Source organism: Homo sapiens, chromosome X (assembly GCF_000001405.40).
Source record: "Homo sapiens chromosome X, GRCh38.p14 Primary Assembly".
NCBI lineage: Eukaryota > Metazoa > Chordata > Mammalia > Primates > Hominidae > Homo > Homo sapiens.
The window spans coordinates 107623068-107651042 of NC_000023.11; the positions used below are offsets into that span (position 1 = coordinate 107623068).

Here is a 27975-nt window from a genome sequence, read left to right on the forward strand (position 1 = left end):
GGTGACCAGGTGCATTGACAATGAGCAGTAATATTTTGAAAGGAATCTCTCTTGTTTTTAGCTGTAGGTCTCAACAATGGGCTTAAAATATTCAGTAAACCATGCTATAAACAGATGTACTATCATCCAGGCTTTGTTGTTCCATTTATAGAGCACAGGCAGAGTAGAATTTAGCCTAATTATTTAGGGCCTTAGAATTTTCAGAATGATACATGAGCATTGGCTGATGCAGTCAATGGCTGCATTAGCCTCTAACAAGAGAGTCAATCTGTCCTTTGGAGCTTTGAAGCCAGGTATTGACCTCTCTAGTTGTAAAAGTCTTAGCTGACATTTTCTTCCAATAGAACGCTTTTACCATCTACATTGAAAATCTGTTGTTTAGTATAACCATCTTTATCAATAATCTTAGCTAGATCTTCTGGGTAACTTGCTGCAGCTTCTACATCAGCACTTGCTGCTTCACCTTGCACGTTTATGTTACGGAGATGGCTTCTTTTCTTTCTTTTTCTTTCTTTCTTTCTTTCTTTCTTCCTTCCTTCCTTCCTTCCTTCCTTCCTTCCTTCCTTCTTTCTTTCTTTCTTTTTTTTTGAGACAGAGTCTCGCTCTATCGCCCAGGCTGGAGTGCAGTGGCGTGATCTCCGCTCACTGCAAGCTCCGCCTCCCGGGTTCACGCCATTCTCCTGCCTCAGCCTCCCGAGTAGCTGGGACTACAGGCACCCGCCACCACGCCCGGCTAATTTTTTGTATTTTTAGTAGAGACGGGGTTTCACCGTGTTAGCCAGGATGGTCTCAATCTCCTGACCTCGTGATCCGCCCACCTTGGCCTCCCAAAGTGCTGGGATTACAGGCGAGATGGCTTCTTTTCTTAAACCTCATAAACCAACCTCTGCTAACTTCATACTTTTCTTCTGCAGCTTCTTCACATCTCTCAGCCTTCATATAAATGAAGGGAGTTAGGGCCTTGCTCTGGATTAGGCTTTGGCTTAAGAGAATTTTGTAGCTGGGTTGATCTATTCAGACCACTCAAACTTTCTCCATATTGTCAATAGAGCTGTTTTGCTTTCTTATCATTCATGTGTTCACTGGAGTAGCACTATTCATTTCCTTCAAGAACTTTTCCTTTGCATTCACAACTTGGTTAACTGGCACAAGAGACCTAGCTTTCAGCCTATCTCAGCTTTTGACACGTCTTCCTCACTCAGCTTAATCATTTTTAGCTTTTGATTTAAAGTAAGAGATGTGCAACACTTCCTTTCACTTGAACTCTTAGAGGACATAGCAGGGCTATTAATTGGCCTAATTTCAATAGTGTTGTCCCTCAGAGAATAAGGAGGCATGAGCAGAGACAGGGAAATGGAGGAATGGCTGGTCAGTGGAACAGTCAGAACACAGAAGACACACAACATTTATCATTTAAGTTCCCTGTCTTATATAGGCATGGTTCATGGCACCCCAAAATGATCACAATAGTAGCATCAAAGACCACTGATCATAGATCACCATAACAGATATAAAATAATAATAATAAAGCTTGAAATATTGCAAGAATTACCAAAATGTGACAAAGAATCACAAAATGAACACATGCTCTTGGAAAAATAGCATCAATAGACTTGCTCAATAGAGGGTTGCCATAAACCTTCAAGTTGTAAAAAATGCAGTATCTGCAAAGCACAATAAAGCAAAGTGTGATAAAATGAGGAATACTTGTGGCTGGAGAGAGGATCTATAGTGGTCATAAAATTCTCAAAGGGGTCCATAATCTCTAAAAGGACCCCTTTTAATTTAATCTGAGATTTTAATTTAATTAATTTAATTTTAATTTAATCTGAGATTAGTGAATCTCAGATTCACAATGTCTTTATCATTCCTCTTCTTAAACCCTACAGCTACTGGCATAGTTAATGACATTACTAACTTGCTCTCCCAATCTGGTTTGCCTGCCTCCAATCTCTTCTCTATTCTTCACCCCACACAGAAAAGTTTACCTAAAGCACAGTTATGATCGTGTCATGCTCTTACTCCAGAACAGTCAATGGCTTCCTATTGCCTGCGGAATGAAGTCCCAATATGGTACTTGATATTCCAGCAAAACTAAACTATTTTCTCTTCTTCAAAACCTCTCTCTGCTTCCTCATCTTTTCTTCCTGCCTGGGAGATCCACCTCCTCTCAATCATTGCCTGTCAAAACCCTACTCATCAATCAAGGCCTAGTTCATGTGCTTCTACCTCCAAAAATATTTCCCAGGATACTCCATGCAGAGGTGATATCTTCTACCTCTGGACCTGCAGAGCATTTTGTTTGGGCCTTATGGGAGACTTCTAGTTGCATACCCAAAATTCATTCTCTCTTCTTTCTGGGAACAGGGCCACCTAACAAAACATTTCCTAGTCTTTCTTGCAGTTAGGTGCGAATTGTGACTGAGCTCTTGCCAAAGGGATGTGAGAGAAAGTGGGATGGATAAATTTCATCTCACTTGCTTAAAAGGAAATCCCTTGCCTAGACCTCTTCTCTGAGCTAGAATGTGGATGTGTCCATGACCTAGCATGGAGCAGAATCATCCCACTGGCTTAGACCAGCCAGCCTGTTATGCAAGAGAGAAATAATTTGTCTTACTAAAGCCGCTATATTTTAGAGTCTCCTTGTTACAGCAGCCTCCACATTATCCAAGCACAGGCTTCTCTATGGTAGCGTATTACATTGTCTGTGCTTTGTAATTATTTGTATAAATGTCTTATCAACTTTCTTTGGAAGTTAACTCCTAATCGGTCTTCCTGCTTCCTATCTTGCCTCCTACACTCTGTTCTCAGTAGCTGGGGTGATCTTTTTAAAAGGGAAGTTAGATTATGTCACTCTTTGCTAAAAATTCTTACTCAGTTAAAGCAAAAACCCCTAAAATAACCTATAAGGTTCTGCATGATCAGCACTCTCCCCACAATCCCTTTTTTTTTTTTTTTTTGGAGACAGGGTCTCTCTCTGTCACCCAGGCTGGAGGGCAGTGGCGCGATCTCGGCTTACTGCAATCTCTGCCTCCCAGGCTCAAGTGATCCTCTCATTTCAGCCTCCCCAGAAGCTGGGACTACAGGTGCTTGCCACCATGCCCAGCTAATTTTTGTATTTTTTGTAGAGATAAGGTTTTGCCATGTTGCCCAGGCTGGTCTGCAAATCCTGAGCTCGAGTGATCCGCCCGCCTCGGCCTCCCAAAGTACTGGGATTACAGACATGAGCCATCGTGCCCACCTGAGTCCCCCAATCACTGTTTTGTTTTGTTTTGTTTAGACAGAATCTCACTCTGTCGCCCAGGCTGGAGTGCAGTGGTGCGATCTCCGCTCACTGCTGCAACCTCTGCCTCCCAAGTTCAAGTGATTCTCTTGCCTCAGTGGGACTACAGGTGCCCACCACCACGCCTGGCTAATTTTTGTATTTTTTGTAGAGACGAGGTTTCGCCACGTTGCCCAGGCTGGTCTTGAACTCCTGAGCTCAAGTGATCCGCCCACCTCGGCCACCCTGAGTGCTGGGATTACAGGCGTGAGCTACCGTGCCTGGCCGGCCTCCAATCACTCTTATCTCATTGACCTCACTTTCCTCCTTTTCTCTTATAGATACATTCCACCTCCACCACACAACACTCGTCCCGCATTGGTATTCCTCAAACAAGCGAGATACATCTGCCTTAGGGTATTTGCCCTTTCTGTTCTCTTTGCTTATCGAGATATCAACATGGCTCATTTTTTTGTTTTTTTTTTCCTCCTTCAGGTCTTTGCCCAAATGTTACCTTCCAAGACAGGTCTTCTCTGACCACCCTACTTAAAATTGTACTCCTCTCCTCTACACTCTGGCACATTATCCCACTTTCCTTGCCTGATTTTTTTTTCCACAACACTTATTGCCATTTGACATACTATGCATTTTGCTTATTTACATGTTTATTGTTTGAGAATGTAAACTCCATGACAGCAGGGTATTTTTAATTGTTTACTAATGTATTCTTGTGCCAATACACAGGGCCTAGCACATAAAGAATGTTCACTAAATATTTATTGAATGAACGAATCCCTTGGGGCAAATACTTTGTAGTCCCCTCAACGCCTTGCACACTGCCTTGCATGCAATAGAACACTCAGTAAATATTTGATGAATGGCCTATGATGGAAGACTACTAATATTCTGCCTTGCAGTTTACTTCCTTCTCCAAGTATTCCTATATACATGGGCCTACATTAAATTTCTGAGCTTGTAAAAGTGCAAAAAAGGTCAGAAGGAGAAGTCCTCCATGGACACTGCTGAAAATAGCAGTAAGACAAAGACAGGATGCTGCTTTGAGTATTTTCTGCCTTTGCCACTTAGATAAATCCCTCTCCCACCTCCATCTCAGTTTTATCATATGTAAAACGACTATATGATCTCTGAGGTCCCTTCTATTTTTACATTTGGTAGTTATGAGCACTATGGTCACTTTTGATTCCAGAATTGTATGATTTTTATCTTCTCCTAACCCATGCTTAAAATATGCTTAATGGAAACATGGTGCAAGAATAAAGGCTCACTTAGGTCCAATTAACAAGTATCGCTATAAAAATAATAAAACATGGTGTAAAAGGCCACATTAGCAACATGTAGCTGATGACATTGAGGCTTACATGAGGCAGACAGGACTAAAACCCAGGTTTTTTCAAATCCCTTCAGGGCTCTTTATCTGAAGTCCCATAGAACACTATACTTTCTTTCCTTTCCGAGGGCTATAAAAGTTAGATCTTTATTGTCCAGATAGTTTGGAAAATCCATCTTCCTTCACTTGTTTCAACATACTTGGTTCCAGCACTAGAAACAAAACAACTTTCTCTTGCAGTGTCTCTTGGATGATTCAGGTGGCATGCCTTCAGTCACTTCCCCCATGTAAACTGTCTTGCAGGCAAAGGCGACACTGCAATTACAATGGGCAAGCAAACTCCTTGCATGCACGTCTGTGATGTAAAAGTGTTTTAATTCAGCCCCATCCTTATAAAGAGATAAAAAATGTGTTCAGAAACATGCAAACTCGTGGCTGTCATCCTGATAAACAGATTTTCTTAAAGGAAACTGTAAACCAGAGCCAGACTTACTTTCCTGCGCTGAGGGAGGGGAAATAAAAAAGCAGGCATGGTTGATTTCCCGCTAGCGGGAACGATCTGGCCTCAGACGTCACCAGCATCCCTCCACCCCCAGTCCAACGTCTCCTGTCCCCAACAGCCTAGCTACAGGGGGCCGGGCTATGGGTTAGTCTCGCCCCCGTTCATGCTCTTCACCCAATACCTGAGAGAATCGGAAGGAGGCAGAGCTACACCGAGGACCAAACCCCGCCCTTCGCTCCCTCTTAGCTAATCGTTGCCAGCGGGGTGTGGACTTCGCCGCTGACCCCACCTCCGCCGCTTTGGGTAATTTAGAGCCGCGCGCCGGGCGGGAATGTAAGATGGCGGAGTAGCAACGCAAAGCGCTTGGTATTGAGTCTGTGGCCGACTTCGGTTCCGGTCTCTGCAGCAGCCGTGATCGCTTAGTGGAGTGCTTAGGGTAGTTGGCCAGGATGCCGAATATCAAAATCTTCAGCGGCAGCTCCCACCAGGACTTATCTCAGAAAATTGCTGACCGCCTGGGCCTGGAGCTAGGCAAGGTGGTGACTAAGAAATTCAGCAACCAGGAGACCTGGTAAGGACCAAGTTGGGACCCTGACTAGACCTCACCTGCCCAGGCGGCAGAGTATAGGAGGGATGGGGTCGCCGCTTGAGCTCAAACAGACTGGGGGTTGGGGGGAGAGGGTGCAGCTCTGTGACTAGCCTACCCCACGGGCTGTTTCCGTTATTTTACCTCTCGCGGGAGGGTCACGTTCATTCTTACCGTGCGGTGGGGTGGAGTCAAAAGATGGAGTGTGAGGCGAAGCTTCTGCGTTTGAGGGCAAGGGCTGGGGGACCCAATAGATAGTGGCTGCATAGAGCGACGAGAGGGGACCGACGCTTAGCCAGGGCGGTAGGGACACGTGGCTTGGCTTTGCTGTTGAGCCACCCAGGCTGGACTGGGTTGCTTCAGCTCTTAGACTAGCTTGCATTTAGAGAGCCTACCTGCGTACTGAGCTCTCCTGGTCTTTCTTTTCCTAGAGTCCAATAAGCAGCTTTTTGATTCGAAATGGTGTTGGTCCGTTCGGCTTGGTGTTGAGGGAAACTGACATTATATACTGCAGGCGCCAAAATTATTACGACTTCCCTTAGATCAGCAAGCGTTGGCTTTTCTCATCTTATGAATCATCTACCTGAGTAATTGGAGCCATAAATCTAGTTGATTTGTTAAAGTGATGCGTTGACTCTGCATCCTTGATAGCCAGCATCTCAGCTTGAGCCATCCAAAAAATCTTGGAAATCTCAATTCTGGAATGTTTGACCTTCCCCAGTGCAGCTAGTGGTACAGATAATGCAAAAGCGTATTTTTCAGTAACCGAGTCCATCCTGGACTTGGCTCCTTCTTTAAGCTCTGTGTAGGGAATTTAGGAAACAATTTTATACCTGAATGTTAAAGATAATTGAGGACAGGCAATGTAGTGGAAGACTAGGATTGGACAGTGCATTGCAACTTGCGTTTTTTCCATTGCCTTGCCAGTAAAACTTGCTTCCTCGACTCCGACTTACACCCTCTACCGGCACCATGGGACTGTTTTAGAGATGACTTGGTTACCTGATTATTTCAGTGCCCCTTCCACCTAAGTGTGGGATCTTTAGTTTCTGATAGGTGTAATTTGTATTTTATTGTTACCCTATCGATTAAATCAGAGCCCTGCCCACAATCTTACAGATTTGTTAAGGGGAAAGTTTTCACCTAATAATCAGATAAGAATATTTCGAATATTTTTTCCTAAATGTTTTTGCTTACTTTTTTGCTTTCTTTGGACTGATTTCCAAGTTTAACTCGCCTTATCTCTTTTAGACCCAGCTGATAAAGTAATGTCACCGATAATGGACAGCTTCTTCCCGAATTATTGTGCTACTGATTGTGATGCAAATGATAGTGTAAACATTGCCATCTGTAACCAGGCAATACCTTAGTTAAAAGAGGCTTACAAACTGCTGTCTTTAGATTTTTCCAAACCATTATGGCTCATGGGCCTTAATAAAGAATACAAAACAGGACTAGACTTTGTGATTGGCAATATAGTTAGGGGACAAGAATGTTTTTCATTTAGAGGTTTTCTTTGGCCCCTGTGGATATTTAATCCTTTTCCTATGCGTCTAGGAAAAATGTGAAGGCATGAAAGCTTTATTTTCTCCTTGTGTTAATCCTTCTGCCCTCTGCATAATGCAGCACCCCAGAACCTGAGGCTATATTGGGAGAGGAGAGGGGGAGGACAACTTAGTTTTCTACTGATTGATTTCTATTAAGTCCAACATGGATAATTGCTGACTGGTTAGATTTTCTTGTTTCTGGCTTAATCATTAGCTTCTTGTTTCCTAGATATTCTGAAATCTTCATTGAACATAATCACATTTTTTTTTATGGAGTTCCCCCTATCTTTGTTTTTCCTATACTGAAGAAATGGTAACTGCTCCCTATAACTGCTCCCCCAGGTGACTCTTGGTTGATGCTCTCTTGAGCAGAGTAGCTTTTCTTCTAACATAAGGATCATCCTTGGCTGTCTGGTTATTTAGGAAACACACACACACACACACACACACACACACACACACGGAGGGGGTGGGTGTTAAAAGTGCTGAAATCAGAGAACTTGGATCTGAATCCTTAACCTTTCTTTGCCCCAATAATCTAATCTGTAAAGTAGTACCTACCCATACTGTTGTTATGAGGATTAAATGAGATAGAAGTAAAGTTCTTAGGATCTTGTCCAAAACATAATAAGTACAACAGTAAATGTTGACAAGAAGGGGTGGTGATAATATTGCAGAAAATGTGGAAAATTTAGAACACGGAAGGGAGAAGATATGCCTCTTAATTCTGCCACCTGACATAAATGTCACATTATCATTTCTGACCTCCCAGATATTTGTGTAAGATACACTTTTTCAAGAATGTTTAATACATTTATAGCTCTCTTCACTTAGCAATATATTTTGAACAGTTTCTCCCTTTAATATTTAGTATATATGATTTTCTTTTTTTATTATTAAAGATTTTAATTTATTTTTTAGAGATGAGGTCTCACTATGTTGCCCAGGCTGGAGTCCAATAGCTACTCACAGGCACAATCATAGCACACTGCATCCTCAAACTCGCGGGCTCAAGTGATCTGCCTGCCTCTGCCTCTCAAGTAGTTGAGAATACAGGCATGCACCACTGAGGTGGGCTAGTTCATGTAATTTTAAATAGCTATATAGTCTTACCTTATGGTTATGCCATAATTTTATATAACCAAATTCTTATTGGACATTTCCAGTTTTTGATCTAATGCTTTTATATGAAAATCCATGAACATAAATCTTTGACCATTTCTGATTATTTCCTTAGAATAAATCCCTAGGAAGGTAATTATTAAGTTAAAGGGTAGATACCATTTTTCAGGCTTTTGATACCTGTTGCCAAATTATTCCCCAGAAAAGTTGAACAAATCTGTCTCATCAGCAGTAATACAATATTAATAATATTTATTTATGTATTTATTTTTTGAGACGGAGTTTCACTCTTACTGCCCAGGAGTGCAGTGGTGCGATCTCAGCTCACTGCAACCTCCGCCACCCAGGTTCAAGCAGTTCTCCTGCCTCAGCCTCCCGAGTAGCTGGGATTACAGGCACGTGCCACCACGCCCAGCTAATATTTTGTATTTTTAGTAGAGACAGGGTTTCACCATGTTGGCCAGGCTGGTTTCAAACTCCTGACCTCAGGTGATCCCCCACACCTTGGCCTCCCAAAGTGCTGGGATTATAGGTGTGAGCTACCGTGCCCGGCTATAATATTTAATGTATAGTGAATGCCTAAGATGTGCTAGTTTCCATGCTAAGCATTTAGTATACATTGTGTTTAATCCCCTCAAAACTGCTATGAGGAATAACTCTTACTATCCCTATTTTACAGAGAAGAGAACTACAGTAAGATGCAGAGTAACTTGCCCAGCTCTGGGTATTATTGTTCCTTTAAATTTTTGCTGACAAGATCTCTCACCTGGCTTTAAAAACTTAGATATTCTAAAATTTTGACTCTATTCTCTTCAATATTTGTAAATAACTTTGGTTTATTTGGTTATTCTGTACTAGCTGAGAGGAGGAAGACTTGAACTTTGGTTGCCTAGGGTTTTCCTGAGAACTGTATCTTCTGGTTGTGGTTAGTTAATCCCATGTATTTTGCACATGCCAATATCTCCATAATCTAAATTCTTCAGATTTTCTTAAGACTACTATCCACCTTTTAGATTCACTTTTGGTGTTTCCTGACATTCCATTTCAATTGGATACACTTATGCCTGACCTTAAAGGAAAGGGAAAAGAGAAGCTAGTTTTTTCACTCATTGGATAGACATAGCCAGTCTTCTGGCCTCACCAAAACAGCTGAGAGAATGATTGGCCCAAAGCCATTTGGAGAACACTCCATTAACTAGAGGGAGAGAACAAGGAGTATTACTCTCTAAATTGCTGAATTAGGTTTTTCCACTTAATAGATTATGTTAGGAGCAAACAGGTTTTAGGCACAAATATTCTTCTCGATCACTGCCATAACTTAGAAGAAGCCATAAGAATAAGGTTAAGATTTTTAGAGGACTTGTTGAACCAAGCTGTATAATCAGAGTGCAATTCACGGACTTTTTAAGACTTTGTCAAACAAAGTCTGTATGTTATAGTACTACTATAGGGAAAGATTGGTTTTAATAAGTGAAATTAGAATTATACACATTAAAACAAGGCAGTATCACCTAGTTTACTTGCACCACCTTATTTTATTTATGTATTTGCTTTCTAAGTTTCTCTACTTTTATTTCATTTTTGTAAGATCTTTTCAAAAGCCCCACATTTTTTAAACAGTTAAATAACCTTTTCAAGTTATTAGATACATGCCTTATAACAAACACCTTCTATGCTGAAGGTAGCTTTTAATTTTAAAAAGTTTGAGCCGGGTGCGGTGGCTCACGTCTGTAATCCCAGCACTTTGGGAGGCCGAGGCGGGTGGATCACGAGGTCAGGAGATCGAGACCATCCTGGCTAACACGGTGAAACCCTGTCTCTACTAAAAATACAAAAAATTAGCTGGGCATGGTGGCAGACGCCTGTAGTCCCAGCTACTCGGGAGGCTGAGACAGGAGAATGGTGTGAACCCAGGAGGCGGAGCTTGCAGTGAGCTGAGATCCTGCCACTGCACTCCAGCCTGGGCAACAGAGCGAGACTCCATCTCAAAAAAAAAAAAAAAAAAAAGTTTGGCTTTGAGAAATAGCTGAGCTGTTGATTGATTATTAAGTGATATAATAACAAAAATGGTACTAGCGACTGTATTGGGTGGTAAGCTGATAAGTGATTTTTATTTATTTTTATTTTTTGTTTGATAAGTGATTTATAAAAAATTATTATTCAAGCCTTATGTGATGTTAGAATATGTATATTTTAAAAATAATCACCTTGGCTGGGTGCGGTGGCTCACACCTGTAATTCCAGCACTTTGGGAGGCCAAGGCAGGCGGATCACCTGAGGTCAGGAGTTTGAGACCAGCCTGGCCAATGTGGCAAAACCCCATCTCTACTAAAAATACAAAAATTAGCCAGGCGTGGTGGCACACACCTGTAGTCCCAGCTACTTGGGTGGCTGAGGCAGGAGAATCACTTGAACCTGGGAGGCAGAGGTTGCAGTGAGCAGAGATCACACCATTGCACTCCAGCCTGGGTGACAGAGTGAGATTCCGTCTCAAAAAAAATAAATACAATTTAAAAAATAAAATAATCAACTCTATTAAAGCTATATATTTATCAGATGCCCTTTGATGTTTTAATTAGCAGTGATAATTTAATTTTTAAATAGTATCTCACCTGCTTTCAAGAAAGGATTTGAAGTATGTTTGATAGTCACTAGTACAAACCGTTTGTTAAGGTAGGTATCAGAAGCCTTATAGAACCATGGACTACAGTAATTGTGGCAACTATTTGGCATAAAACAATTTCTAAAGTTTAGTGTTACTTTTTATTTTATTTATGTATTTATTTATTTATTTTTTTGAGATGGAGTCTAGCTCTGTCTCCCAGGCTGGAGTGCAGTGGCGCGATCTCGGTTCACTGCAAGCTCTGTCTCTCGGGTTCACGCCATTCTCCTGCCTCAGCCTCCCGAGTAGCTGGGACTATAAGCGCCCACCACCACGCCCAGCTAATGGCTAATTTTTTTTTTTTTTTTGTATTTTTAGTAGAGACGGGGTTTCACCATGTTAGCCAGGATGGTCTCGATCTCCTGACCTCAGGTGATCTGCCCACCTCGGCCTCCTAAAGTGCTGGGATTACAGGCGTGAGCCACCGCCCCAGCCTAGTGTTACATTTTTTTAACTGTATCCCTTGGCTTCCTGACAGCCAGAGGGATAAAGGCATATGCAATCGATTATGTGGTTTTTATTTTCATAAAGTTATTTAGAAACTTCCAGGCAAAAAATCCTAAGAATTTTATGGGTGAGACCTCTAAATAGTGATATCGAGTAACATCATGGACAATATAACAATTTTGTGGGTATTTTTTATATTGACTGATAGTTGAGGCATTTGTAAAGGGAGATAAGCCACTGTGGTCTAAGAATGTTGTTTTCTGGTCTTACTTGATAATGATAAAGTTTTTTGTTTTTTTTTTTTTTGAGACAGAGTCTCGCTCTCTCGCTCTGTCTCCCAGGCTGGAGTGCAATGACTTGATCTCGGTTCACTGCAAGCTCTGCCTCCCAGGTTCACGCCATTCCCCTGCCTCAGCCTCCCGAGTAGCTGGGACTACAGGCGCCCGCCACCACACCTGGCTAATTTTTTTGTATTTTTTAGTAGAGACGGGGTTTCACCGTGTTAGCCAGGATGGTCTCGATCACCTGACCTCGTGATCCGCCCGCCTCGGCCTCCCAAAGTGCTGGGATTACAGGCGTGAGCCACCGTGCCCAGCGATAATGATAAAGTTTTAAAAACATAGCAGAATAGCTTGTCCCTTATACTGTCTGATATCAATTGTCAAACTACATTTGTTCATTTGTTCTCCAACTTTTAATCAAACATCCTGACTCTGGCAAGTGAATGTCTGGAGCACAGATGATACTCTGTGTTCTTGACTGAAACAAGAGCCATAGGCTTCTGATACATGATTGGAAATCAATATGCCTGCCTGACTTTCATTCTCCTCCAGGGAAATGCATATTTTGGTCAAGGAGCTGATATATGGAGGATGAATGTGAGCAGCATTAAAATTTTCTGATTTTTTTTTTTTTTGAGACAGTGTCTCACTCTGTCACCCAGGCTGGAGTGCAGTGGCATGATCATGGCTCCTAACTCCTGGGCTGAAGCAATCCTCCCACCTCAGTCTCCCCAGTAGCTGCAATCACAGGCACTTGCCACCATGCCTAATTTTTAAATTGTTTTGTAGAGAGGAGGTCTCTTTATGTTACCCAGGCTGGTCTCAAACTCTTGGGCTCAAGCGGTCCTCCTGCCTCTGCCTCCCAACCACAGACTTGTTTAACATAAAACCTAAAAGTGACTCTTTTAGCTTGAAATCTCTCGAAGGGCAGAGCTAGTAGTAAAGAAAGATCTGGGCCAGACATGGTGGCTCACACCTGTAATCCCAGCACTTTGGGAGGTCAAGGCGGGCAGATCACGAGGTCAAGAGATCGAGACCATCCTGGCCAACATGGTGAAACCCCATCTCTACTAAAAATACAAAAAATTAGCTGGGCGTGGTGGCGTGCGGCTGTAGTTCCAGCTACTCGGGAGGCTGAGGCAGGAGAATCACTTGAACCCGGGAGGTGGAGGTCGCAGTGAGCCAAGATCGTGCCACTGCACTCCAGCCTGGCGACAGAGCGAGACTGTCTCAAAAAAAAAAAAAAAAAAAAACTGAAAACGTCCCAAAAGTCCCTTGAAATGACCACTGCCTGTTTGTTTTGTTTTGTTTGGTTTGAGACGGAGTCCCGCTCTGTCACCCAGGCTGGAGTGCAGCGGCTTCATCTCCCCATACTGCAACCTCCGCCTCCCAGGTTCAAGCGATTCTCCTGCCTCAGCCCCCTGAGTAGCTGGGACTACAGATGCATGTCCCCACGCCTAATTTTTGTGTTTTTTGGTAGAGACGGGGTTTCGCCATGTTGCCAAGGTTGGTCTTGAAATGGGGAGCTCAGGCAGTCTGCCTGCCTTGGCCTCCCAAAGTGCTGGGATTACAGGCATGAGCCACTGCGTCCAGTCTTAAAAAAGGTTTATCCTAAACTAGTGCATTTTCTTTTTTGTTCTGGCTGCCAGGAATCTCAGCTTCCTTGATTTTAATTGGTTTCTAGTTTGATTTTTTTTCACTTGCTTTTATTTTTCTTGCTTTACAACATAAACTAACCCCATTTGTCTTTTCTTGCTTTTGAGATGAGGGTCTTCCTGTGTTGTCCAGGCTAGACTTGAACTCCTGGGCTCAAGCAGTCCTCCTGCTTCAGCCTCCTGAGTAGCTGGGATTACAGGTGTGTGCCACCACTCCCAGCTCCCTTTCATCTTGGGTTAGAAAGGAATAAATAAGTAATTATCTCCTATGTCAGCTTCTTCTGGCAATAGAATTGCCTCTGCCAGTTTTCATATAAGTCCCTTTTGGAGTTCTCCTTGAAGTTTTGTTTGGGGAGAGAAGGGTGGGTAAAAGTGATCTTGACAGAAATAGGACAGTAGGTAGTTCCTGAAGCCACACAGAAGATAGTGCTTAGAGTGAGATAGAAGTATGGATCTTTTATTTAATAACTCTATTGCCTTTTGATTTGAACTGAAGTTTTCTCTTGTTCAATAGGTATTGTCAGCCATTCTGATCTACTTGTCTATATACACACATACACCTCTCCTTCACCTAGAGGATTAGTTGGAATATAATGTTGTTTGAGGTATCACTAAGGTGATTTTTAAAAATTTTTAAATTATTTTCTTTTTTTTTTCTTAAACCTGGTGAACAGGAGAGGTGATTTTTTTTTCTTGGTAGAGACCCGAGTATGGGCACTGAAACTTTCGTGGTAAAATATAGCCCTACTTCATACTTAGAGTAAATTCCTATGGAGTTACTTAGTAATTGGACCAGAGTACAGTTAACACAGAATGAGGGCAAGGACCACATTTTATTCACCATTGTTTCCCTAGCATCTAGTACAGTGATGAGCATATGAACATTTAATATTTACTGGGTAAATTGCCAGTATGGTAGAGGTGGTACTGTCTTTTGTTAAAGTGTCATTATAGAACAGTAGTGATTCACTCCTTATGATATTTCTACTTCTTTTGCTATTTATGGACTCTGTAACAGTAATAGGTGATGCATCAAATTTTATGTACATCACATGTACCTATATGAAATGAGATACAGGCCACCTGCTAAAATTATGGTCCGGTTATTTGTAAGTACTTTAGACTAACATGTGCCAACCATTTCATGCATCTTTTTCGTGTCTGTCACATGGTAATATTAGAAAATATTACCATAGAAAATGGTAATATTTGTATAGTGCACTGGAGTAAACTGAGGCAGTGAACTGCTTCTGGTATAAGGCTCCTTCAGAGGATCTCCTGAAGCCTAGGTGATCAATATCCACATGTAGCTGTAACCATTCACAGCATACTAGTAGGGAAGCTGTTCTTAGACCTTATTGTCTATAGAAGTATAGTAAAGTCATCCCTCAGTATCCACAGGGGATTGGTCCCAAGACCAAATCTGCAGATATGAAATAGTGTAATATAAATATATATATATATATATATATTTTTTTGATATGGAGTCTTGCTCTGTCACCCAGGCTAGAGTGCAGAGGCACGATCTCTGCTCACTGTAATCTCTGCCTCCCGGTTCAAGCAATTTTTCTGCCTCAGCCTCCTGAGTAGCTGGGACTACAGGTACCTGCCACCACACTCAGCTAATTTTTTTTTTTTATTTTTATTTGAGACGGAGTCTCACTCTGTTGCCCAGGCTGGAGCGCAGTAGCGTGATCTTGGCTCACCGCAACCTGTGCCTCCCGGGTTCAAGTGATTCTCCTGCCTCAACCTCCCGAGTAGCTGGGACTACAGGCGTGTGCCACCATGCACGGCTGATTTTTATACTTTAGTAGAGATGGGTTTTCACTGTGTTGGCCAGGCTGGTCTTAAACTCCTGACCTCAGGTGATCCACCCATCTTGGCCTCCTAAAGTGCTGGGATTACAGGTGTGAGCCACCACACCCTGACTAATTTTTTTATTTTTAGTAGAAACGGGTTTCACCATGTTGACTAGGCTGGTCTTGAACTCCTGACCTCAGGTGATCCGCCCACCTCAGCCTCCCAAAGTGCTGGGATTATAGGCGTGAGCCATCACGCCCGGCCATATGAAATAATCTATGCACATGTTCCCTTATACTTTATTGTTATTTATTTATTTTTTGTAGAGATGGGGTCTCACTGTATTACCCAGGCTGGTTTTGAACTCCTGGGCTCAAATGATCCTCCTTCTACCCTGCCCCCTGCTCCCCAAAGTGCTGAGCCACCATGCCAGGCCCTCCCATATATTTTATTTTATTTTATTTTATTTTTGACACAGAGTCTCACTCTGTTGCCCAGGCTGGAGTGCAGTGGTGTGATCTTAGCTCACTGCAACCTCCGCCTCCTGAGTTCCAGCGATTCTCGTGCCTCAGCCTCCTGAGTAGGTGGGACTACAGGCGCCTGCCACCATGCCCTTCTAATTTTTGTATTTTTAGTAGAGATACATGGTTTCGCCATGTTGGCCAGGCTGGTCTCGAACTCCTGACTTCAAGTGATCCACCCACCTTGGCCTGCCAAAGTGCTGGGATTATAGGCATGAGCCACTGCGCCCAGCCCTGCCATATACTTTAAATCATCTCTAGATTACTTATAATACTTAATACAATATAAATACTACGTAAATAGTTGTTATACTGTATTTAGAAAATAATGACAAAGAAAAAAATCTGTACATGTTCAATACAGGTGCAATTTTTTCTCCAAATATTTTCAATCCACACTTGGTTGAATCCATAGATGTGGAACCTATGGATATGGAGGGCTGACAGTACAGTGGTTTAAAATCTATTTCATGTTCTTTCTTTCCTCATTGTAGTGTGGAAATTGGTGAAAGTGTACGTGGAGAGGATGTCTACATTGTTCAGAGTGGTTGTGGCGAAATCAATGACAATTTAATGGAGCTTTTGATCATGATTAATGCCTGCAAGATTGCTTCAGCCAGCCGGGTTACTGCAGTCATCCCATGCTTCCCTTATGCCCGGCAGGATAAGAAAGATAAGGTAGGAGCAGAATTTTATTTTTTGAGCAGAGGAAGCAGGAGCACTTGCCCCAAATCACAAATAAATTCCAAAATTATCAAATATATATTTAGGGGGAATTTTAAAAATCACCTTTTCTTAGGTATTACCCTATCTTCAAAACAATAGAAATATAATTGGTTTGTATAAAGCAACACATTTGTAGTCTGTATTTTATTACAGTGATACATATATAACTTTCAGTTAGCTCACTGGTATTTTTAATTGTATCAGTAAGACTAAGCACCAACTCCTCTGGAGTACTGGAGTATATTTTTAAAATTACGGTAGATCCTCTCAAACTGTAAGATTGGGATCCTAGTTGTGACCTCTTCATAAAACTTGAAGTCTGTTATATGAATACTTGATCTGATAGATACATAGATAGATAGATAGATAGATAAACTATATATATCTCTCACCTTATCCTGGTATATTAGAGGATAAGGCATATACATAAAACTTTGCAAGTCTATTGTAATTAATGCCCAATTTTACACACAATGCCTCGAAGAAGGTCAGATATTTTTATTCCAACAGAGTATAAAGTAAAGGGCATGGGCCGGGTGCGGTGGCTCACGCCTGCAATCCTAGCACTTTGGGAGGCCGAGGCGGGAGGATTGCCTGAGCTCAGGAGTTTTGAGACCAGCCTGGGCAACGCTGTGAAACTCCGTCTCTACTAAAATACAAAAGAAATTATCCAGGCGTGGCGCTGCGCGCCTGTAGTCCCAGCTACTCGGGAGGCAGAGGCAGGAGAATTGCTTGAACCCAGGAGGCAGAGGTTGCAGTGAGCTGAGATCATGCCACTGCACTCCAGCCTGGGCGATAGAGCAAGACTCTGTCTCTACAAAAAAAAAAAAAAAAAAAAAGGCATGCATGGACTTTGCTATTTTACAGTGCAGCAAGTATGTTTTATTTGAGGAGTTCATAGTTGTTGGAAAGTTGACCTCCAGATGAGTAAGTAGTGATGTGATTTACAAAGGAAACTATAATATCTATTCTGTGATGTATCTTCAAACCTTGACATGTTAGGTGTTAAAGGTTTACATATGTATGTGTTGAAAGAGATTTTAATAAAATTATTTTTTAAAGTCTGCCTAGTTTGAATAATTGAGCATTGGAAACACTTGAATAGGATTGAAAATGTGTACATTAAGAAAACAAAAGTTAGGAAAGCATTTTCTTTATTGATAAGTGTATCCTGATTTGGAAAAGTGATGTTCCACTTAATATTTGTTCTGAATTATGATCCACTTAAAGTCAATGGACATGTCTCCTTCTATGAATTTCTGGGTACCATAGTGCCTTTAACATAGTAGGTACACAATAAATAGTTTCTTGAGTAAATGAATTGTTTTTCAAATTGGCTTTTTGGTTTTTCTTTTCTTTCCTCCCCTCCATTTAGAGCCGGGCGCCAATCTCAGCCAAGCTTGTTGCAAATATGCTATCTGTAGCAGGTGCAGATCATATTATCACCATGGACCTACATGCTTCTCAAATTCAGGTATCAGTGGAAGCTAAATATTGGTGTTTGAAAGGTGGGAGGAAAGGACTGATGATGCTGAAGACTGCAGAGAAGCCAAAAATTATGCCCAAGTACATCTGAAATAAACTAGATATCAACAACATTTTAAATGTGTTCACCTTAAGCATACTTCATGATCTTAGTCATTTCAGGTGGTTAGATAGGGAGGCAGTCTAGTTTTATGGGAAGAGCACTACTTTGAATAAAGGCTCTGGTATTTACTAGCTTTGTAAGCTTGGGAAGGTTACTTAATTTCTCTGAACATATACTTTTTCATTATTGTGAGTATAAAACATTAAATTCATATTATAATGCCTGGCCCATGACAGGTACTCATAGATAGGAGCTGTTATTATCATTCTTATTCTCCTTGAATATTCATGGAGTGCAGTGGCACGATCTTGGCTCACTGCAACCTCTGCCTCCTCAGTTCAAGCAGTTCTCCTGCCTCGGCCTCCCAAGTAGCTGGGATTACAGGCACCTGACACCAGGCCCAGCTAACTTTTTTGTACTTTTAGTTGAGATGGGGTTTCACCATGTTGGCCAGGCTGGTCTCGAACTCCTGACCTCAAGTGATCTGCCTGCTGCAGCCTCCCAAAGTGCTGCGATTACAAGCATGAGCCACCGTGCCTGGCCTCATGGTCTTAAATTTAGAGCCACAGATATTGGAGCCTACTTTCCAACATAAACCCAAAGTAAGGGGGGTGGAATACCACCTTTATTTTATATTTTTTCAAAGAGATTTTTCAAATCATTACATTTCAAGCTTGTGGGAATTCAATGAAGTACATTGGACAGGGACTGTACTCCTTTTATGGAAAGGAATGACTTAATTGAGAAATACAACTAATTTGTATCAACTAGAATTAGAACACAGATCTCCTGATTTCTAATTATTCACTGTGACTATTTATCATAAGTAGCTTCCATTAAGTTTATATGCCATAGCATCTCTAACTGGTTTATCCATTAGCTTTTACTCCTTAACAAATCAGTCCAACACTTAGTGGCATAAAGCAGTATTTACAAACTCACTGAGTCTGCATGTTGACTGGGCAGTTCTTAATGGTTTTGTCTGAACTTAGCCATTCTTTACAAGGGCTCACTTATGTTCCTATGTTCAGTTGTGGGTTGACTGAGGGCTGGCTTTGCTGATCTTGGCTGGGCTCTCTCACATAGCCCAGATTCAAGGAGGCTTTTATAATCTACCACACTGGGCCTGCCTTCCCATCAGTTTGAATGTTGCAGTAAGACATTCTCTGAGCAAGTTACTACTTTGTGTTTGCCATTTATAAATGGAAGAGAAGGAAAGTGAAGCAAAACTGATCCAGCTTCTTTCTACAGGGCTTTTTTGATATCCCAGTAGACAATTTGTATGCAGAGCCGGCTGTCCTAAAGTGGATAAGGGAGAATATCTCTGAGTGGAGGAACTGCACTATTGTCTCACCTGATGCTGGTGGAGCTAAGAGGTATGGTTGAAATTAGTATTGTTCCCAATGTACTGGGAAAATCTTTCAGATGGTTGTGTCACAAAGTGAAGTTTTTCTATCCAAGTGGCAGTTTTTAAGTATTTTTGAATGGATGTAAGTAGCTAGCACATGGGTTGAATATAGTTTTACCCTTTCCTCTTTTACTGTCCTCAGTTACTACTCGGAAGACAAGACAGAAAAGGGGTCCTAAATCATCATATTATGGATTTGACTATAACTTATGAGTAACTTGGTGCTACAGAGCTAGCAATACAGCTATAAACCTTTTGGGAAGGGTAGAAAATGTGGTTTTCTAATGAATAGCAGCTGCTATTGAACCACATATTGGTGGACAAATTCGCTTTTACACTCCTCTTACAATGCTGTTGGTTAGATCATTTTGATCCTTGGGATTAAAATATTAAGCAGGAAGGAAAGTAAAGTGTGACATTTTTATTTAAAGCCAAGATCTTAACATTTTAAACAAACTGATTGCCAGGGATTGCCAGTTAACAGTGCTTTGCAGCTCACATGGTGCAGACTAAGAGCTCTTGATTTCCTTAGTGGATTACTCGTTAGTAATGCATTCAAAAGTGTGACACATGTTCTTCTTGTTGTGGAAATAGAATGAAGAGCTACAAAACACAGATGATTAGGAAGAGCTAATTCAGAACTTTCTAAAAGCCATTCAAATCTTCAATGACTGTTTCTCAACAACCTCTTTTATTTCAGTAACTTCAACAGAACTGATAAGCTGAGAACTTGAGTTATGTTATCCAGCCAGATATATGGGTTGGTGAGTCCCATGTAATTGCTAGTTACCATCTGTAATGCTAGAGACAGCCTAAGAAACATCCCCCCAACTAGTAGTTGTCATATTTAATTTGTCGGTCATTATTTTAATATCTTTCTGTGGGACTTAGAAAATAGTCACATTTGAAATAGGCAGGATTTTCTTTCCAAAGGTGGGTATAGGAAAACTGCCTTTAGTAGACAACTTATTGCTACCTGATTTTTTTTTCATTATCATTGTCTTATAGTGATGGAGTATTTTACAATTGAGTGTCTATCACTTCTGTGTTGGCAGGGTTTGGGGAGTAGGTAGAGATCCCTGTGTGATATTCATTTGTACAGTAGTTCTCTCCTCAAAAGGTGTAGAGAGTTACTTTTTCTAGCCCTTTTTATGCTTTGTTGGTCACTGAATTTGTTGGCCTTTGAGTATGGTTGGTTTGGGATACTTGAACTAATTGATCATGCATTTGCCTTGGGTAAGTAATCATTCCAAGCGAATTGGTTACCACTGATGTTATGTGCTTATGCAGTAGTAGTAATGGAGAGTACAGGGTATGGTTGGTTTAGATCAAGGTACAAATGTTACCTAGATTATGGTTCAAACCTTATTATGTGGTCACAGGTTCTCACTTATCCAGCAAAAACTCATGTGACCATAGTCACAAGAGAAACAGGACAAAATGCTATAGTTTGTTCAGTTCTACATTAAAAAACAGGACAAATCCCCAAGCACGGGCTGCTTCACACATGACGGAGATGGCACAGCGGAGCATGGACAGACGTGCCACTGGGGCAGCTCACTGTCATTTACACTGAATAGATTTTTGTTTGAATTATGTGGTACTTTGTCAAAAGACAAATTTGTCTTCTATCCTACCTTCTAGTCTGGTTTATTTTCTCTTGTAATAAGAAAAATAAGAATTCTCTTTGATTGGAAGATACTTTGGACCGAATGGTGAGATGCCTAGCTTGTCTGGGTAATTGATATAACTTTCTGTCTAGCAATTGTGAAAAAAACTCCCAAGCTTGGTGTCCAGGTACAGTTGACAGTGACAGTTGATGGATGTTTTGCCAACAGCACTGAGGGAAGTGATGAGGACACAGGCATTGGAACAGGCTGGATGCTGCTCCTCTCCTGCCAGTCAGGTTCTCTTCTCACCACATCCCCATTCACGGGTCTTCCATGATGGGAATTGGGACAGTCTGTGTACTCCTGGCATTAGTTAATTCTTTCCTCATTCCTTCTGCTGCCAATCCATTAAATAAACTTGCGTGTCTTAGCGTTATACTGCTTCCCAGTACTGGTGAGGGTGTCTGTCCTCTACCCAGAATGAATACTCATCTAAGTTTGATCAGTACGTTCATAAGCTTCTGTTGAGCTATGGAGGCACTGGTTTATAAAACCCAGTTTGTGATATTTGCCTTTGAGAAGTCAATGATAGTTGCTTTCATTCTTCCAGCCCTGGGAACTATTGGTTTCAAGGAGTATTCTCCTCCCCAAAACAAGCCCATTCTTTAGTCCATTTCTTTTTTTCTTTTTTTTTTGTTTTGAGACAGAGTCTCGCTCTGTCACCCAGGCTGGAGTGCAGTGGCGCGATCTCAGCTCACTGCAAGCTCCAGCTCCTGGGTTCACGCCATTTTCCTGCCTCAGCCTCCCGAGTAGCTGGGACTACAGGCGCCCGCCACCATGCCCAGCTAATTTTTTGTATTTTTAGTAAAGATGGGGTTTCACTGTGTTAGCCAGGATGGTCTCTATCTCCTGACCTTGTGATCCGCCCACCTCAGCCTCCCAAAGTGCTGGGATTACAGGCGTGAGCCACCGCCCCCGGCCTCTTTAGTCCATTTCTTTTGTCTTAGAAGCCACACATACATATGAACACGCTCTGTTTTGCAGAGTGACCTCCATTGCAGACAGGCTGAATGTGGACTTTGCCTTGATTCACAAAGAACGGAAGAAGGCCAATGAAGTGGACCGCATGGTGCTTGTGGGAGATGTGAAGGATCGGGTGGCCATCCTTGTGGATGACATGGCTGACACTTGTGGCACAATCTGCCATGCAGCTGACAAGTAAGTGTGGATTGATGGGGCTGGTAGTTAGAAGGAAAAAGCTAGCAATTGCTGTCTGAATGTCTTCAGCCTGCTGATTCCTTTTGGAACCAAATTGAGGGGATAAGTAACTTTGTGAGATTTTTATCACCCAAGGCTTAAATTATAATACATAGAAATTGTTGAGTACTCTTATTTTTTTTTCAGATTTTCTTATTTTTTAAATTTATATTGTACTAAGCTACATATAACACAATTTGCCATTTTAACTATTTTAAGTGTATAATTCCATGACATTAACTATATTCACAATGTTAGACAACCATCGCCTGATCATCAAAGTTTTTTGATCACCCTGAGTATGCTACATGCGATTGTTTTTTGTTTTAATGAGTTAAAATAAAAATCCTGAGCAGACAGGTGTGTGTGCTCATATTTTTATTTTACCTAAGCCGGAACCCTTGGTCTTACTTCTCGACTGTTTTACCGGCTGCTACTTTTGTTCATTATTACTTCTTTTTTTCACTCTAATCCTGTGATAGGTTAATGTTTATATTACTTGTCATCTCTTGCCTGCAGTGTTCTAAATTGCCTCCCCACTCTGTTCTCCATTGCCAGTCACCGTTCTCTCACCTCCCCACTCCATCTCTCCATGCTTGCTAATCTTCCTGCAACTGAGGCTCGATCCCATCACTCTTTAAGATTTTAAGTGGCCCCTCATTACTAACAATCCAAGCCACTATGAGCAGCATTGTTTCTTAGAATGGTATTTTTACTTTTATTTTTATTTTGAGACATGGTCTCACTCTGTTACCCAGGCTGGAGTGTAGTAGTACAATTACGGCTCACTGCAGTCTTGAAATCTTGGGCTCAAGAAATCCTCCTGTCTCAGACTCCCGAGTAGCTGGGACTACAGGCAAGTGCCACCACACTTGGGTAATTATTTATTATTATTATTATTATTTTTGTAGAGAAGGAGTCCCACTATGTTGCCCAGGCTGTCCTTGAACTCCTGGGCTCAAGCAATTCTCCCACCTCAGCCTCCCAAAGTGCTGGGATTTCAGCTGTGAGCCACAGCACCCAGCCCTGAGAATGGTTTTTTTAAACTTTCTTGTGTCTGTGCCTTGCACAGTGCCTGGCACATAATAGGTGCTAAAAAAAAATTGGGGTGAATGATTCTTGGTTTGGGATCCTGGAGTAAACATTCATAAAACCCATTTCATCCTTGTACAAGTACGGGAATACTAGTCGCTATAACAGATCAACTCCCTAACATGATAGTTTCCTTCTTGTCCATGGCACACTCCAATGCAAGTGTTCTTGTTGGACTCATTTTTTCTAAGCAATAGTTAGGAGCTCAGATTCTTTCAATCTTTGGTGCTATATCTTTAACATGGGGTTTCCAAGATTACCTTGGAAGACATTTCAATTTTGGCCAGCCAGAAAAGGAAAAGAACACAGAGGATCACCCCTGGAAGATTTTTGTTAAGTCCAACCAAAAACTGATGTACATTGTGTCTGCCCACATTTTAATAGCCAGAATTAAGCCACATGGCCACACTGAACTATGTGAGGGAGGCTGGGAAATGTAGTTCAGCTATGTGCCCAGAAAGAAGAGGAAGTGGATTTTGTTAAGTGCAACAGTCTATGCCAGAGTCCTTTGACACTAATTCAGACCTATTCAGATAAGTTCTTAGTGCAGTTCTTTCTCGATATGGACTGAATTGTGTCCTCCCCAAATTCATATATGTTGAGGCCTAACCCCAATGTGATGGTATTTGGAGTTACCTTGAGGGGCACGTATTTAGGATTAGATGAGGTCACTAGGGCAGAGCCCTTACAATGGGATGAATGCCCTTATAAGAAGAGAATGCTGGAGAACTGGCCAGCATTTCCCCATGCGCACGCATGCGTGCACACACACTCACACTCACACACAAAGAGGTCATCTGAGCACACAGCAAAGTGGTGGCCACCTACAAGAGAAGAGGCCTCAGCATGACACCTACTTTGTCTGCACCTTGATCTTGGACTTTAAGCCTCCAGAACTGTGAAAAATTTGTTTCTGTTATTTAAGCCACCCATTCTATGGTATTTTCTTTTCCTTAAAAAAATTTTTCCCCTAACCCACTGTGCCTTATAATATTTTTTATTTTTTTATTTTTTTTCATATGATATTTTGTTGTGGAAGCCTAAGCAGGCTAATATACTCCTCCCTGACTAAAATTCTGCAATGACAAGTAAGATGAATCCAAATCAACATTTTTTCCCTCTAGACTTCTCTCAGCTGGCGCCACCAGAGTTTATGCCATCTTGACTCATGGAATCTTCTCCGGTCCTGCTATTTCTCGCATCAACAACGCATGCTTTGAGGCAGTAGTAGTCACCAATACCATACCTCAGGAGGACAAGATGAAGCATTGCTCCAAAATACAGGTGAGGATGAGATTTGTGCAAAACAAGACTTTTCTAAGTGTTTAGGAGGTGGTTACTTACGTTGAATTAGGTCTCTGGATTCTGAAGATATCTTTCTTTGGTCTGAAGGATTTAGTCTTGTCATCAGAATTTGTGATCCAAAAGTTAACAATCACCTGTTTCTTTTCCTTTTTTTTTTTCTTTTCAAACTGCCAAGCCTTGGGAAAATCACCTGTTTAAAAGTTTAAATTGCTACACCTCAGAATCTCTGGAAGATGGAGCCTAAGATTCTACATTTTAACAGGTTCTCCCAGTGATTCTGATGCAAATTAAAGTTTTCAAGTCCATACTTTACAGTATGTGTTTGTCTGTTAACTATCGGCCCCTGTAGATATAATGTGAAACCTTTAAACTGATTGTACACTTCTACCAACTTTAGTGTTTCTCAGTGTGCTCTGGACCTAAGGTTCTTATTAAAATGTAGATTCCTTTGCTCCATCTAAGACCTATAAAACCAGAGGTCCTGGAACCAGTATTTTAAAGTAATTCCCCAAGTAATTGTTAGAAACTAAAGTTTGAGTGCTCTTGCACTAAAAGAACAAGGCCTTGCTTAATTAAAAATGTTCACATTAATCTATGAGCTTTTTGAAATTAATATGTGTAATTGGAGGATTATCATCTTTTTTTTTTTTTTTTTTGAGATAGGATCTTGCTCTGTTGCCCCAGCCGGAGTGCGCAATCAAAGCTCACTGCAGCCTCAACTTTGAAGGCTCAGGCAATCATCCTGTCTCAGCCTCCCAAGTGGCTGGCGTGCACCACCATGCCCAGCTAATTTTTTTGATATTATGTGTAGAGACGGGGTCTCCCTATGTTGCCCAGGCTGGTCTCAAACTCCTAGCCTCAAGCTATCCTCCTGTGTCAGCCTCCCAAAGTGCTGAGATTACAGGTGATGTCATTCTTAAGGATTTTTTTTCAACTTAGTCTTTTTTTTTTCCTTCATAAGGTTTTTTTGTTTGTTTGTTTTTTGTTTTTGAGATGGAGTTTTGCTCTTGTTGCCTAGGCTGGAGTGCAATGGCACGATCTCAGCTCACCGCAACCTCAGCCTCCCAGGTTCAAGTGAGTCTCCTGCCTCAGCCTCCCAAGTAGCTGGGATTACAGGCATGTGCCACCACGCCTGACTAATTTTTTATTTTTAGTAGAGATGGGGTTTCTCCATGTTGCTCAGGCTGGTCTTGAACTCCTGACCTCAGGTGATCCGTCCACCTCGGCCTCCCAAACTGCTGGGATTACAGGCATGAGCCACCACGCCCAGCCTATTCAGAAGGATTTTTAAATGCGAACCTACCACCATTTTTTTTTAGACAGGGTCTCACTCTGTTGCCTAAGCTGGAGTGCAGTGGCCTGATCTTGACTCACTGCAGCCTCAAACTCCCAGGCTCAAGCGATCCTCCTGCCTTAGCCTCACAAGTAGCTGGGACTACAGGCATACACCACAACCACGCCTGGCTAATTTTTGTTTTATTGTAGAGACAGAGTTTCACCATATTGCCCAGGCTGGACTCAAACTCCTGGGCTCAAGTGATCCTCCCACCTTGGCCTCCCAAAGTGCTGGGATTACAGGTGTGAGCCACAGTGCCCAGCCATTTTGATGAACCAAAGTCAGCGTTTTTTCTCAGTTAGCATTTTGACTCTTTCCTAAGTGGCTGTTTTGTTTTGTTTTGTTGTTTTGAGACAGAGTCTCGCTCTGTCACCCAGGCTGGAGTGCAGTGGCACGATCTTGGCTCACCGCAACCTCCACCTCCCAGGTTCAAGCAATTCTCATGCCTCAGCCTCCCGAGTAGCTGGGATTACAGGCGTGTGCCACACCATGCTTGGTTAATTTTTGTATTTTTAGTAGAGACGGGGTTTCATCATGTTGGCCAGCCTGGTCTCCAACTCCTGGCCTCAAGTGATCTGCCCACCTTGGCCTCCCAAAGTGCAGGGATTAACAGGTGTGAGCCACCGTGCCCAGCCGTAAGTGGCTATCTTAAAAATGTTATGAAGAATAGCTGAGTGCAGCCTCATGACAGGGAAACAGCACAGTGTTGCAGTTTTAAGAGGAAGGGCACTTGCCTGGCTGCTCATCAGTGTCTGCAAATTGGCCAGTCATCTCTGACCATATGATAGTAACCTGATTTCCTTTCTTGCCTTTCTAGGTGATTGACATCTCTATGATCCTTGCAGAAGCCATCAGGAGAACTCACAATGGAGAATCCGTTTCTTACCTATTCAGCCATGTCCCTTTATAATAGAGTAACTTCTGAGGCTTTTTGAGAATAAAATCCACCCCACCCTTGTTTCCCCTTGGTATTTGATGACAAATTCAGCAGAAGACCCGGCTTGCTCCAGTGTAGCTTTCTACATCCCACATCAGGTATATTAGAGCTTATCCGAACTGGGGAAAGACGGATTGAGATTAACTGCTGGGACCTCCTACCTGCATTATCTCATTCTGGCTTCCTTGATAATTCTGTGGGCCTTGCAGCTTTAACTATAGCTCAGCTGCTGCAAGATTTCAGACTTTTGAGGATGTTGTGTGAGGGTGTTTGACTGTGACTGGGGAAGCTCAGACTACTTTGTATGTGAATGCTTCAGGGTTTTCTTTGTTGAGAACAACTAGCAACAAAGGCAACCCATGTGTGACCAGTTCTCCCCAAGGTCTATGCTAAATTATAGCAAGAGCCCTGGGCAACCCCAAACCTAGTCCTGGTAGCTGAGCACCCTGTAAGGCAGGAGCAGGCAGCTCAGCTTGAGCAGACATTGGGTGGGGGGTGGGGGGTGGTTGAGGGGGGAGGCAGCACAGTGCAGCAAATGTTTCTTGGGAGGAAGAAGCCTGATCCATCACCATCTGCTTGACTATGTAGCTTGGATTCTCCTTTGTACCTATCCCTTTCGATTTGGCTTTACCTTCATCTATCTTGATCCTTTCCTGGCCAAATATCCTCTTGGGCCCAAATGAACATTGTACCATAGTCTTCTGGAAAGCAAACATGCTTCCTGCTATGTAATTGCTAACATTCATATTAGATGATGTGCTGTAGCTTGATCTTCCTTAGCCTACTGCCACTGAGGCAGTAGGTTTTAGGTGGTATCGTAGTGCCTTTTGATTAATTTAAGTATTTAATTTTCATCTTCCTTCTTTGGATCTATTTGGCCTCTCAAATGAACTGAGATTCCTGTTAAAAAAGATTGATGTTATTGTCTCTTGTAGAGGAAACTAATAAAGTGTGTGTACCTGTGTGATTTGGGGTCTGTATCA

At 42.0% G+C, this 27975-nt stretch overlaps 1 protein-coding gene across 2 annotated transcripts, besides 2 other annotated features; it reads left to right on the plus strand.

The window, feature by feature from the left end:
* Window positions 5281–5330: a silencer, noted in NCBI's record as "silent region_20928". NCBI's record gives its function as "represses an Ori minimal core promoter by ATAC-STARR-seq in GM12878 lymphoblastoid cells {active_cell/tissue: GM12878}" and the evidence as "EXISTENCE:reporter gene assay evidence [ECO:0000049][PMID:35858748]".
* Window positions 5443–27959, plus strand: PRPS1 (phosphoribosyl pyrophosphate synthetase 1). 2 transcript variants are annotated; one of them, NM_002764.4, is made up of 7 exons: window positions 5443–5683; window positions 16228–16411; window positions 17835–17933; window positions 19299–19423; window positions 22110–22283; window positions 24539–24698; window positions 26873–27959. In NM_002764.4, exons 1-7 carry the CDS (start codon window positions 5562–5564, stop codon window positions 26963–26965), a joined length of 957 nt encoding a protein of 318 aa, NP_002755.1. In that variant the 5' UTR covers window positions 5443–5561; the 3' UTR covers window positions 26966–27959. The 2 variants fall into 2 exon arrangements, with proteins under 2 accessions (NP_002755.1, NP_001191331.1); NM_001204402.2 differs by lacking the exons at window positions 16228–16411; window positions 17835–17933; window positions 19299–19423.
* Window positions 10160–10262: a silencer, noted in NCBI's record as "fragment chrX:106876457-106876559 (GRCh37/hg19 assembly coordinates)". NCBI's record gives its function as "represses an EF-1alpha promoter that drives an FKBP-Casp9 reporter gene in an ReSE screen in phorbol 12-myristate 13-acetate-treated (for megakaryocytic differentiation) K562 erythroleukemia cells {active_cell/tissue: K562(+PMA)}" and the evidence as "EXISTENCE:reporter gene assay evidence [ECO:0000049][PMID:32094911]".

What these genes read in the sequence shown, in the direction of transcription:
- PRPS1 (NM_002764.4), top strand. Translation starts at nt 5,562, where the DNA reads ATGCCGAATATCAAAATCTTCAGCGGCAGCTCCCACCAGGACTTATCT. An exon ending in TACATGCTTCTCAAATTCAG is followed by an intron (nt 17,934 to 19,298) that starts GTATCAGTGGAA and finishes TTCTTTCTACAG; the next exon opens with GGCTTTTTTGATATCCCAGT. An exon ending in ATCTGCCATGCAGCTGACAA is followed by an intron (nt 22,284 to 24,538) that starts GTAAGTGTGGAT and finishes TTTTCCCTCTAG; the next exon opens with ACTTCTCTCAGCTGGCGCCA.